General features: G+C 46.6%; 1 protein-coding gene across 1 annotated transcript in view, besides 3 other annotated features; it reads left to right on the top strand.

Moving 5' to 3' along the window:
- NOL4L (nucleolar protein 4 like) overlaps window positions 1–12,158 on the top strand; it is a 142,275-nt gene that overhangs the window by 78,056 nt on the left and 52,061 nt on the right. The window lies entirely within an intron of this gene.
- Window positions 13–694: an enhancer, noted in NCBI's record as "OCT4-NANOG-H3K27ac-H3K4me1 hESC enhancer chr20:31094387-31095068 (GRCh37/hg19 assembly coordinates)". NCBI's record gives its function as "activates a minimal SCP1, AML or CMV promoter by ChIP-STARR-seq in naive and primed H9 embryonic stem cells {active_cell/tissue: H9 hESC(naive and primed)}" and the evidence as "EXISTENCE:reporter gene assay evidence [ECO:0000049][PMID:30033119]".
- Window positions 695–1,377: an enhancer, noted in NCBI's record as "H3K27ac-H3K4me1 hESC enhancer chr20:31093704-31094386 (GRCh37/hg19 assembly coordinates)". NCBI's record gives its function as "activates a minimal SCP1, AML or CMV promoter by ChIP-STARR-seq in primed H9 embryonic stem cells {active_cell/tissue: H9 hESC(primed)}" and the evidence as "EXISTENCE:reporter gene assay evidence [ECO:0000049][PMID:30033119]".
- Window positions 9,817–10,333: an enhancer, noted in NCBI's record as "H3K27ac-H3K4me1 hESC enhancer chr20:31084748-31085264 (GRCh37/hg19 assembly coordinates)". NCBI's record gives its function as "activates a minimal SCP1, AML or CMV promoter by ChIP-STARR-seq in primed H9 embryonic stem cells {active_cell/tissue: H9 hESC(primed)}" and the evidence as "EXISTENCE:reporter gene assay evidence [ECO:0000049][PMID:30033119]".

The raw sequence follows: 12,158 nt of genomic DNA, 5'->3' as shown, positions 1-12,158 counted from the left end.
CTGAGCAGAAAATAGTGGAGTGTGGTCTGATCAAAGAGTTTTTTTATTTGGGAATACTCTTAAAAAGATATAAAATGGAAATTGTATTTAGTTGCACAGAGGACTGAGCCATCTTCTTGGAAGGGGCAGGGAAGGAAGATTTCAGGCCCCTTGTAGAAATTAGCTGTGGAAGCAGAGAGACAACTGTGCTCCTTCTCCCACCCAGAGGAAGCCGAGGCCCAGAGAGGCTCAGGGCTCACCTCTGGAGGACTGTGGGCACCTCCCTTGCCTCCCTCTCTGCAGTTCCTGGAGCAGAGCTAATGTCCCGCTAATGGTTTTAATGGTCCTCACAGCAGTGTGTGAAGTGGTGCAGCTCCATTGTCTGAGCCCACGTGATGGAGGTTCTAGCTTGCCCCCATTAACCTCTGCCTCCCTCTCCTCTACTGTTCTGTCCTGGCCCAGAATTTTCCTTGGGTCCTGGAGGGCAGGTGAGGAGGAGCAGACCCCTTCACAGACAGTGAGCTCTTCTTAGTAGAGGGGACAAAACAGCAGCCACAGAGCTGTCACCTGGGACAGAAAACAGAAGGGGCTAGTGCCAGGAAGTTCAGAGGCACTGGCTTATTTATTTATTTATTTGGAGATGGAGTTTTGCTCTTGTTGCCCAGGCTGGAGTGCAATGGCGCGATCTCGGCTCACTGCAACCTCTGCCTCCTGGGTTCAAGCGGTGCTCCTGCCTCAGCCTCCTGAATAGCTGAGATTACAGGCACGCACCACCACGCCCGGCTAATTTTGTATTTTTAGTAGAGATGGGGTTTCTCCATGTTGGTCAGGCTGGTCTTGAACTCCTGACCTCAGGTGATCCGCCCTCCTCGGCCTCCCAAAGTGCTGGGATTACAAGTGTGAGCCACCGTGCCGGGCCTGGCTTATTTTTAAAATGCCTGGCTTGGGCAAGCAGAGAGGGCCTGGGTGAGGGAAGCTGAGAGGTAACAGCTGGAGCAGGACCTGGGGCCAGGGGAGGCTGGAGCCAGTTTGGGGAACAGAGGAGAAGGAGGCCAGGACTCCGAGGAAGCCCCCTCCTTGGAAGCCAGGCCCAGGAGAGAGCGCTTCCTCAGTCAGCACTAGGGATCAAGGTTCAGATTTCCAGCAGGAACTTTCTCAGGCTTCCATCCCCCTAAATGGAGAAGGAAACAAGCCCACCCTGAAAAACTCTCCACATTCATTTTTTTAAGAAAACTGTGATAAATATATAAAACCTAAAATGTGCCATTTTAACCACGTTTAAGTATATAATTGAGTGGCATTGAGTATATTCACAATGTTGCACAACCATCACCAACTATCTATTTCCAAAATTTTTTCATCACCCGAAACAGAAACTCTGTACCCATTAAGCAATAATTCCCCTTCCTCCCCTCCCCCAGCCCTGGTAACCTCTATTCTGCTTTCTCTCTGTGCAGTTGGCTCTTTTAGGCACCTCATGTCAGTGGAATCAGATGTCCTTTTGTCCTTTTGTGCATCATGTCTTCAAGGTTCATCCATGTGGTAGCATGTGTCAGAACTTTATTCCTTTTTGTTAGTTTTTTGAGACAGGGTCTCACTCTGTCACCCAGGCTGGAGTGCAGTGACACGATCACAGTTCACTGCAGCCTTGCCCTCCCGGGCTCAATCTGCCCACCTCAGCCTCCTGAGTATCTGAGACCACAGGTGAGCACCACCACATCTAGCTAATTTTTGTATTTTTTTTTGTAGAGATGTGGTTTCGCCATGTTGTCTGGGCTGGTCTGGAACTCAAGCGATCTGCCCATCTCAGCCTCCCAAAGTGCTGGGATTACAGGCATGTGTGCTATTGCGCCTGACCAACTTTATTCCTTTTTATGACAATAATATTTCATTGTATTAACCATACATTTTGTTTATTGTATTTGTATTAACCACATTTTGTTTACTGCATTTATCTGTTCATGGACATTTGGGTTGTTTCCACTTTTTTGGCTAACTACATTTACTTTTTAATCATTATCTTTTCTCTTTCTTATGAACCCTCTCAATCTCCCCCCTGCCCAGAAAGACCCCCAAAATATGGGCAGACACAAAGGAGAAGGAGTGTTAATGGGTTACTGTGAGAGACTGTCACTTACTCAAACAGTGCTGACTCATGGGGTTCTTACCATGGAGAACCCAAGAGTACTGACTTAGACAACCTGTTTAAGTCTAACTGACTTAGGCTCCATGTTTAGGAGCCTGATAGCAGTGATGATTCCCTTCTTTCCTTCCTCAGGCTGCCCTGCAGCCCAGGTGAACTGGGAGTTCAGAGGAGTAATAGCAGAATGGAAACATGGCCTTGTCTCCTGCTGTGGCTCAATGTGTGTGACCTTTGATGGTCTCTTAAAGAAGCAGAGGTGGCCGGTGCAGTGGCTCACGCCTGTAATCCCAGCACTTTGGGAGGCTGAAGCGAGTGTATCACAAGGTCAAGAGATCGAGACCATCCTGGCCAACATGAGGAAACTCCATTTCTAAAAATACAAAAATTAGCTGGGCATGGTGGCACGTGCTTGTAGTCCCAGCTACTCAGAGGCTGAGGCAGGAGAATCACTTGAACCTGGGAGGCAGAGGTTGCAGTGAGCAGAGATCATGCCACTTCACTCCAGCCTGGCGACAGAGCAAGACTCAGTCAAAAAAAAAAAAGCAGCTGCAGAGGTTTTGAGATGTTTTTTTCTTTCTTTCTTTCTTTTTTTTTTTTTGATGGAGTCTCACTCTGTCACCCAGGCTGGAGTGCAGTGGCACGATCTTGGCTCACTGCAAGCTCCATCTCCTGGGTACACACCATTCTCCTGCCTCAGCCTCCCGAGTAGCTGGGACTACAGGCGCCCGCCATGACACCTGGCTAATTTTTTGTATTTTTATTAGAGACAGGGTTTCACTGTGTTAGCCAGGATGGTCTCGATCTACTGACCTCGTGATCTACCCACCTCAGCCTCCCAAAGTGCTGGGATTACAGGCGTGAGCCACCACGCCCGGCCTCTGAGATGTTTCTTTAAAGTTAAAGAGTAATCTCCATGGACTAGAAATAGAATGTAGAACTTCTAAACCAGTAGAGTGAATAAAAGAAACACAGAAAACTTAATCAGTCCAGCAAGAGTGATTACATGGGGACTAAACGAAGAAACCACAAAAAAGAGATTTATGTATACATATAAAATAAATATAAAGGAATATGATAAATGTATATAATAAATTACATAAAGTAACATAATACAAACAACACCAAACTACTAAATATAAAAAATGTGAATGGGTTAAATTTCATTACACAGTATCATAAAAAGCTCAGATGGGCCTTCTTAAATGGCATTGGGTATTTACAAAAGACATTTATCAAAATGACACAAAAAGGAAAATTAAAAAAGAGGGAGTAGTGCTATTAATGTTAAATAAATGTTCAAGGCAAAAAAAAAGCATTAAGTAGGGCAAAGTGTGATATTTTATGATGATCAAAGACAGTTTCCCAGTGACACTCCAGACCTTGGAGGTCTGCCATTGGGGAGGTGAGGAGGGCTGTTAAGCTTTGCTGTAAGAGGCAGAATCTTTCTAGCTCTCAGCATATCTTTGCCGTCTCCACTCTCTTTTCACCATTTGCAGATTTTGCTACTGTCTTGGAATAGCCATTTCTCTAGACTGTTCAAACTTTGAGCATCTGTGTCTGCTCCTGAAAATGTGCATGGACCAATAAGTGGGGTAGACCCTGTGGCATTTGTGAGGATATGGGGTCTGCTGCTTTGGCTGCCTAGATTTTAGTCTGCCTCATTCTCTCCCCATGGGGCTCTCCCACTGAGGCCACCACTTCCCTCTCAGTTCCCAGCCTCCCGAGCTTCTACCCATCCCACCAACTGTCTTCACTACTCCCAGCCTTGCTTGTCCGCTTCTGGCTTCTTTCCTTTGCTCCATCTATTACCTCCTCTTGTTGTGTAGCTGAGCTGCAGGGGCCTAACCTGCCACCATGAGAGCACGGGAAAGGCCTGAAATGCCATCGACCACATTTTCAGTATCTGAGAATCTATAGCCCAAACCTTCATCCTGTCTCAGTAAATTTCTGGCCCTGTGGAAGGTTTATGCTGCAGCAAGAAAACAAAAGCAGCTGAAATACTGTCCTTGACCAAGGCTGCTGTTGGGATTTCTCTAGGCAGAGGACAATCCTTGGAGCATTTCTGCTGTGAGAGGACATACAGTTGGAGAAGCCGCTGTGAGCTTCTACCTTGTGCCCCCAGACCTTCCACCGCAATCCCAGGGCAGCTCACCTACAGAAATCACTTCTGGGTGGCCCTTTACCCTTTTTTAACTTGTTTTGATTTCTTTGCATTTATTTATTTTTTATGTTTATTTTTTATTTTGAGATGGAGTTTTGCTCTTGCTGCCCAGGCTGGAGTGCAATGATGTGATCTCGGCTCGTTGCAACCTCTGCTCTCAAGTTCAAGAGATTCTCCTGCCTCAGCCTCCCGAGTAGCTGGGATTACAGGCCCCGGCCACCACTCCCGGCTAATTTTTGTATTTTTAGTAGAGACGGGGTTTCACCATGTTGGCCAGGCTGGTCTCGAACTCCTGACCTCAGGTGATCCACCCGCCTCGGCTTCCCAAAGTGCTGGGATTACAGGGGTGAGCCACCACACCCGGCCTGCATTATTTTTATTTTTATAGATAGAATACTTTTTTTTTTTGAGATGGAGTCTCACCGTCACCTAGGCTGGAGTGTAGTGGCGTGATCCTCACTGCAGCCTCCGCCTCCCGGATTCAGGCATTTCTCTTGCCTCAGCCTCCTGAGTAACTGGAATTACAGGCGCCTGCCACCAAACCCAGCTAATTTTTGTACTTTCAGTAGAGACGGGGTTTCACCCTGTTGGCCAGGCTGATCTTGAACTCCTGACCTCAGGTGATCCGCCTGCCTCGGCCTCCCAAAGTGCTGGGATTACAGGCATGAGCCACCACACCCGGCCTCTAGAATACATTTTTTAAAATCATATAGAAAAATAGCAGACCCTGCCCCAGCCTCCCCACTTCAATTTCTACTCCCTAGGGACAGCCTCTTTTCTTTCTTATGTTTTAGCTGTCTCTTCTGGTATTTAACTCCTATTTTGGAATAACCTGCTTATACTATAAGTTCTTGATTTTTCAATTGGGGCTTTTGTTGTTGTTAATTTCTTGCTGTAGGAAATAAGTATTTGCACTCTTACACCCTCTCATAAATACACTTATTATTTCTCCTTCCTCCATCCTGCAACATATCTATACCTCTCTATTTAGATAAATTGCTATTCATTGTTTATATTATTATGACTGTGTGCATATTACTCATAGCTGACCCAATTAACATATGCTATGATTACATTTCCTTACATTTCCTTTCTTCGGATTCCCCAGAGTTAGTCATTGCCTCCTTTTCCCCATCCGTAGCTCTCTCTCTTTTGATATTGCCTATGCTGTGTGTGTTGTCATTTTTATTTTTATGTACTCAGATGTATCAATTTTTTCTTCAAATCGCTTCTGCATTTGAGTCTTAAAAAGGCTAACTCCACTCCATCCCCCATGTTTTCTTTTAGTATTTTTATGTTTTCATTTTTTTTTTGATAGACTATTTTTGAGAACAGTTTTAACTTTACAGAAAAATTGGGAAGATAGTACAGAGTATCCACATTGCCCACTCCTCGACACACAGTTTCCCGTATTATCAATGTCTTATATTAAGGTGATACATTTGTTACCACTAATGAACCACACTGATACATTATTGTAAGTAAAGTCTACAGTTTATTTAGATTCCTTTAGCTTTTACCTAATTTCCTTTTCTGTTCCAAGATTTCATCCAGGATACAACATTTAATTTTCATTGTAACATTTAATTCCATTTAATTGTCATGTCCCTTTAGTCTTCTTTGGGCTTTGACAGTTTCTCAGACTTTCCTTGTTTTTGATAACCTTGACAGTTTCGAAGAGTACTAGTTGTGTATTTTGTAGGATTTAGAAATTTGACATTTTTCTCTATATAAAACCGGGGTTATGGGTTATTAGGAGGAAGACCACAGACATGGAGTGTCATTTTCATCACATCCTGTTAAGGGTCCATAATATCAACATGATTTAGGACTGTTGCCATTGGCCTTGATCACACCTGGTTGAGATATTGGTTGTCAGGTTTCTCTCCTGTCAAGTGACTTTTCCCTCTTTCCACACTGTGCACTTGGGAAGGAAGGCACCGTGTGCAGCCCACACCTGAAGAGTGGGGAGTCATGTTCTGCCTTTTTTAGGGTGAATTATCAACGTAAATTATTTAGATTGCTTATGCATAGGAGATTTGTTTCTCCTCCCCCACTTATTAATTTATTCAGCCATTTATAGAAGTCGAGACTCATAGCTGTTTATTTTATGCTTTGATGATCATTCAATACTTCTTCATTTTGTTGTACAAATTGTTCTAGCTTTGGCCATTGGAGCTTTTTCAGTTGTTTCCTGTGCTCTTTTGCCATACCTCATTGGTGTTTGGGGTTTTTGTTTGTTCGTTTCTTGTTTTTTAGTGCTTCTTTGCTTTCTGGCACTGTAAGACTCCAGGCTCATCTTGCATATTTCCTGCCCCAATCCTGGAATCAGTGATTTCTCCAAGGAGCTCTGATTCCTTTTATTGGAAAACCATATTAAAAACCAAAATATCGGATCGAGACCATCCTGGCTAACACGATGAAACCATGTCTCTAGTAAAAAAAAAAAAAAAAAAGAAAGAAATACAAAAAAATTAGCTGGGCGTGGTGGCAGGCGCCTGTACTCCCAGCTACTTGGGAGGCTGAGGCAGAAGAATGGCATGAACCCGGGAGGCGGAGCTTGCAATGAGCCGAGATTGTGCCACTGCACTCCAGCCTGGGCAAGAAAGCAAGACTCCGTCTCAAAAAAAAAAAAAAAAAAATCTGGCTGGGCATGGTGGCTTACACCCATTATCCCAACACTTTGGGAGGCCAAGGCAGAAGGGTCTCTTGAGTTCAGGAGTTCAAGACCAGCCTGGGCAAACCTCATCTCTATATATTTTGTATAAAACAAAACAAAAAAACAAGATCTGGGCACTATGTGTGCCCATTGGTACTGAAGTATCCTTTCTTGCAGGCTCTTCCAGCTGACAGAGCAAAAAGCATACATGTTTTTATTTTCATTTTTTATATTTAATCTTTGATCCATTTGGAGCTTATGCTGACGTATTCTGAGATACAGATTCCGCTTAACCCTTTTGTCTCAGCATCATTTGTTAAATACTCCATTTTCCCCCACTGATTTGAGATGACACCTTTAAAACTTACTAAGTTTCCATCCAAAACAGAATCTACTTCTGTTTGGTCCACTGGGCTCCTTGACTATTCATGTAGCAGCTACCAAACTGTTTTAAGTGTGAAAACTTTATCATATGTTTTAATATCTAGTAGGAATTGTTCCTCTTTTGTTGGCTTTCTTTTTAAAAGTTTTGCTGGCTTGAAAAAAGGCATTACTTTGAAAAAAATAATTGTTCCTTTTTTTTTTTTTTTTTTTTTTGAGACAAGGTCTCCCTCTGTTGCCCAGGCTAGAGTGCAGTCGCAAAATCTTGGCTCACTACAACCTCCGCTGCCCAGGTTCAAGCAATTCTCCTGCCTCAGCTGACTGAGTAGCTGGGACTACAGATGCCTGCCACCATGCCCGGCTAATTTTTGCATTTTTAGTAGAGATGGGGTTTCACCATGTTGGCCAAGCTGGTCTGAAACTCCTGGCCTCAAGTGATCTGCCTGCCTCAGCCTCCCAAAGTGCTGGGATTACAGGCATGAGCCACCACACCCAGCCAAAAATTGTTTCTTTAATGCCTAAAAATGTTTGTATCCGCTTTTTGGTGGAGGAAAAATACTGCAGCAGCACCACTGATCTGACCACATGAGCATTATGTGAAGACACTTTATCCCAGGCCTCTTTGTTCACTGACAAACAGAGGTGGACTGAGAACCAGGAGCACCATGAGCCCAGTGTCAGGATCGGGGGGCTCTAAACATGGACAGCACAGCATTCCCCATCCTCCTAAAATGGTATCATGCAAAATAGGGCATTTATTTAAAAAAAAATTTTTTTTGGCCAGGAGCAGTGGCTCACGCCTGTAATCCCAGCACTTTGGGAGGCCAAGGTGGGCAGATCACAAGGCCAGGAGTTTGAGACCAGCCTGACCAACATGGTGAAGCCCCGTCTCTACTAAAAATACAAAAATTAGCTGGCGTGGTGGCAGGAGCCTGTAATCCCAGGTACTCAGGAGGTTGAGGCAGGAGAATCACTTGAACCTGGGAAGCAGAGGTTGCAGTGAGCTGAGATTGCACCACTGCACTCCAGCCTAGGCAACAGAGCAAGACCAAGACTCTGCCTCAAAAACAAACAAACACAAAAATTTTTTAAGTAGAAACAGTGCTTCACTTTGTTGCCCAGGCTGATCTTGAACTTCTGGGCCTCCCAAAGAAAATAGTGCATTTCTTTTTTTTTTTTTTTTTTTTTATTGAGACAGGGTCTCACTCCCGTTGCCCAGGGTAGAGTGCAGTGGTGCAATCACAGCTCAATGCAGCCTCGACTTCCCAGGCTCTAGTGATCCTCCCACCTCAGCCTCCCGAGTAGCTGGAACTACAGGCACACACCACCACACCTGGCTAATTTTTTGCACTTTTTATAGAGATGGGGCTTCACGTGTTGCCCAGGCTGGTCTTGAACTCCTGGGCTCAAGCGATCCTCCCACTTTGGCCTCCTAAAGTGCTGGAATGACAGGCATGAGCCACCATGCCCTGTGAAAATAGGGCATTTCTAAACTTGAGAGGGAATGATTTATCAGAAAGCTTTTTTTTTTTTTAAGAGAACAGAGAGAGGCGTGAAAAGCTCATTGTCAAACATCTTTTGTTATGGGACATTATTTTTGCAATCAGTATATGTTCTTGAACATCCTGGGGTGCTTTCTAGAAACTTACTACAATTTCCAAATTCTCACAGAAAATGAGCATTTCCTCTGTTTTGTGAGGGCAACCTGAGCTGGGAGAGGTCTGTGTCTTTTCTTTCCTCTCACTTCCCTGAAGCTGTGTGGGAAAGTGGAAAACAGCCACCACCCTGTCTGGAGAGCCAGTGTCTGGTGGGGTTGGCAGATACCCCGAACCTGAACAGCTCATTGTCCCCAGCAGCTCCTTGAGGCTCGAGCCCCTTCCGGGCTGCAGACCTCCACCCCTACAAATGCGAGAATGCCAAGGTGGCCTTTCAACTTTATTATCTGGGGGAAAAAATGCAGGAAGCACTCGTAATTTACTGGTGCAAGCAGGAGAGCTGCCTGGTGCCATAAGCAGCAATACTGCATGCAGGGCTGGCCTCGGGACGCTTTGTGTGTGTCAAGGGAAAAGCTTGCACAGGTCAGGAGCTGCTACCTGGGCGTCCATGAATGAAGGGGGGAAGTGGCTCTGTCCTGTCAGAGCTCTGGCAGTAAAACACCCCTGCCAGGCAGCCCAGGGAGCTGACTCCGGTCTGTTTCTAAGGACAAGAGAGACCTAACAGGAAAGGAGACGTCTTTCCTGGGCTGGGCCAGGAAGGAGCAGCTCAAAACATCCAGATGGTCCCTGTACTGATGGCTGCCCTTGTGACCGCCACAGCCTAACCAAGACCCAGAAGGGATTCGTGATCTTGTGGCTAAGTCCCGTTCCGTTTTGCAACTAAACTCCTCACTCCAGCTTTTGGGTGCCTCTTTCACCCAGAACTAGTGGGATATTTTGGGCAGGGTGCTTTTCTGCAGCCGTCCCTGGTTTTCCTTGCTTTTTATTTTGAATGCGGGACCCCTGATGGCTTTGTCAAGCCTTCTACTTAAGGCACTGAAACTCAGGCAGCTCAGCCCCCTGGCAGCTGAGCATTTAGTGGTTGTGACTTTTACACAGGTTCTTGACCCACCCTGACTCTTGTCAGCCTGATGGGTCCTTTTCATGTGGGGCCCAGATAGGCCCTGTCACCCCCAGCAAAGAGCAGCTCCAGGAGACCTGACTCCATGGGGCGGGTGGGTGGGCCAGGGCTTTGTAACCAGACCTGGAGGGTGCAGGAGGGTTTCAGACGCTTCAGCAGCTGATGTCTGGAGATCAATTAGAGATAATGGCTTTGGGTGGACTGGAAGAAGCATGGCCAAGCTTTTTCCTGGTCATGATTGTGTTTACCTCATTATCGGGCTTTTTTTTTTTTTTTTTTTTTGAGGGTAGGAGGGCACAGTATTGCTTTGTGAATTTGTGCTGTCTGCTTTGTTTTGCTCGGGGTGACTGGGTGTGGATCCCGGCAGGCGGGTAGCTCCCCGACCCCTATTCAGACTGAGAGGCACACAGCACAGCTGCTGCTCACGGCCGACCAGACCCTTGTCCTCCCTGCAACACAGCATTATGTAGTTTTAAAGAAATTTCCTAGGCCAGGTGTGGTGGTTCATGCCTGTAATCCCAGCACTTTTTGGGAGGCTGAGGCGGGTGGATCACCTGAGGTCAGTTCGAGACCAGCCCGGCCAACATGATGAAACCCTGTCTCTACTAAAAATACAAAAAATTAGCCAGCTGTGGTGGCAGGCACCTGTAGTTCCAGCTACTCGGGAGGCTGAGGCAGAAGAATCACTTGAACCTGGGAGGCAGAGGTTGCAGTGAGCTGAGATCATGCCACTGTACTCCAGCTTGGGCAACAAGAGTGAAACTCTCTCAAAAAAAAAAAAGAAAGAAAGAAATTTCTTCCTTCCTTCACTCAAAAATCATTTCCGAGGTTCCTACTACATGCTGGAGGTCATTCCAAGCACGGAAGATACCACAGTGAATGAGACAGATAAGGTACCCATCCCTAGGAGCTCACAGGCCTGGAGATGATAAACAAGGCAATATAAAAAAATATGCAAAAGGAGGAAATTTGGGGTAGATAATTAAAATAGAGTAAGATGACAGACTGTGCCTCAGGGCAAGAAGGCCTCTCTGAAGAGGCAGCATCCGAGCCAAGGCCTGAATGGTGAGAAGTGGCCAGCCCTGCAGAGATGAAGTGGGAGGGCTTTCCAGGCACAGGAGACAGCACATGCAAAGACCCTGGGGTAGGAACAGCAGTGGGGCTCAGATAGAGGAGTAAGGGGGAGCTATGCCTGGGAGCCGTCTTCAAAGGCAGCTCTCCCAGGGCCTGCCAGCCGGGTGCACATGTGTTGTGATGTGAAGCCTAGTGGTGATCTTTCTCTGCCAGAGGGAAGCAGGGCAGGGACCTGGGCCTGTCTCAGGTCGAAAGTGGAGATGAGCACCTGAGAGGGAGTCCAGCGACTCTGGTTCTAGGTGTGCCTCTGCCCCACGAGTCATCTAACTTCTTTTATTGGGGTGCAGTGATATGATCACAGCTCACTGCAGCCTTGACCTCCTGAGCTCAAGCAATTCTCCCACCTCAGCCTCCTGAGTAGCTGGGACCACAGGTGCTCAACACCGCGCCCAGCTAATGTTTGTATTTTTTGTAGGGATGGGGTCTCGCCATGTTGCCCAGGCTGGTCTTGAACTCCTGGGCTTAAGCATTCCCCCACCTCAGCCTCCCCAAAGTGCTGGGACGTGAGCCACTGCGCCCCAGCCATCTAACTTCTTCATGCTGCAGCTTCCCTGTTACTAGATCAGCAGGTTTGGGTCAGACATCTGTGGCTTTCAAATTTTACATTTTGATGGAGGAACCCCTTTCTTCAAGGGACTGTCTTCTGGGGAGGAAGTTGAGTGGGTCAGGGGTCAGCAGCAGACAGGCATGTTGCTGGCAATGCTGGGCACGGAGCCCAGAGCCCGCCTACCTACCCCTTTCGTCCCCAGCAGCCCATCTGCCTCTCCTGCACCACCTCAGGAATAGGCCCGGGCAGCCCTGAGCTTTGGCTTGCGGTGCCGAAGATAGTCAAGGAGAGGGGCTCGATCCAGCACAACCACAAGCAGCCTCCTCGACAGATATGAGTCACAGAGCCCATGCCCTGCCAGCCCCATGGTCATTCTAAGGCTCTGGCATTTAGAATGGCTCTAAATACCTCAAGAGATAAGATAGAAACAGAAGATGTTCTTTAACTGGGATACTCCTGTGGCTGAGGAAGTGCCCAGGCACACTTGTGCTGCAGCCGTGACAGTTTTCCCTCCTTCAGAGTCCACAAGTGAGGGAAC

Source organism: Homo sapiens, chromosome 20 (genome assembly GCF_000001405.40).
Source record: "Homo sapiens chromosome 20, GRCh38.p14 Primary Assembly".
NCBI lineage: Eukaryota > Metazoa > Chordata > Mammalia > Primates > Hominidae > Homo > Homo sapiens.
This window is presented reverse-complemented; position numbering and strand designations above follow the sequence as displayed.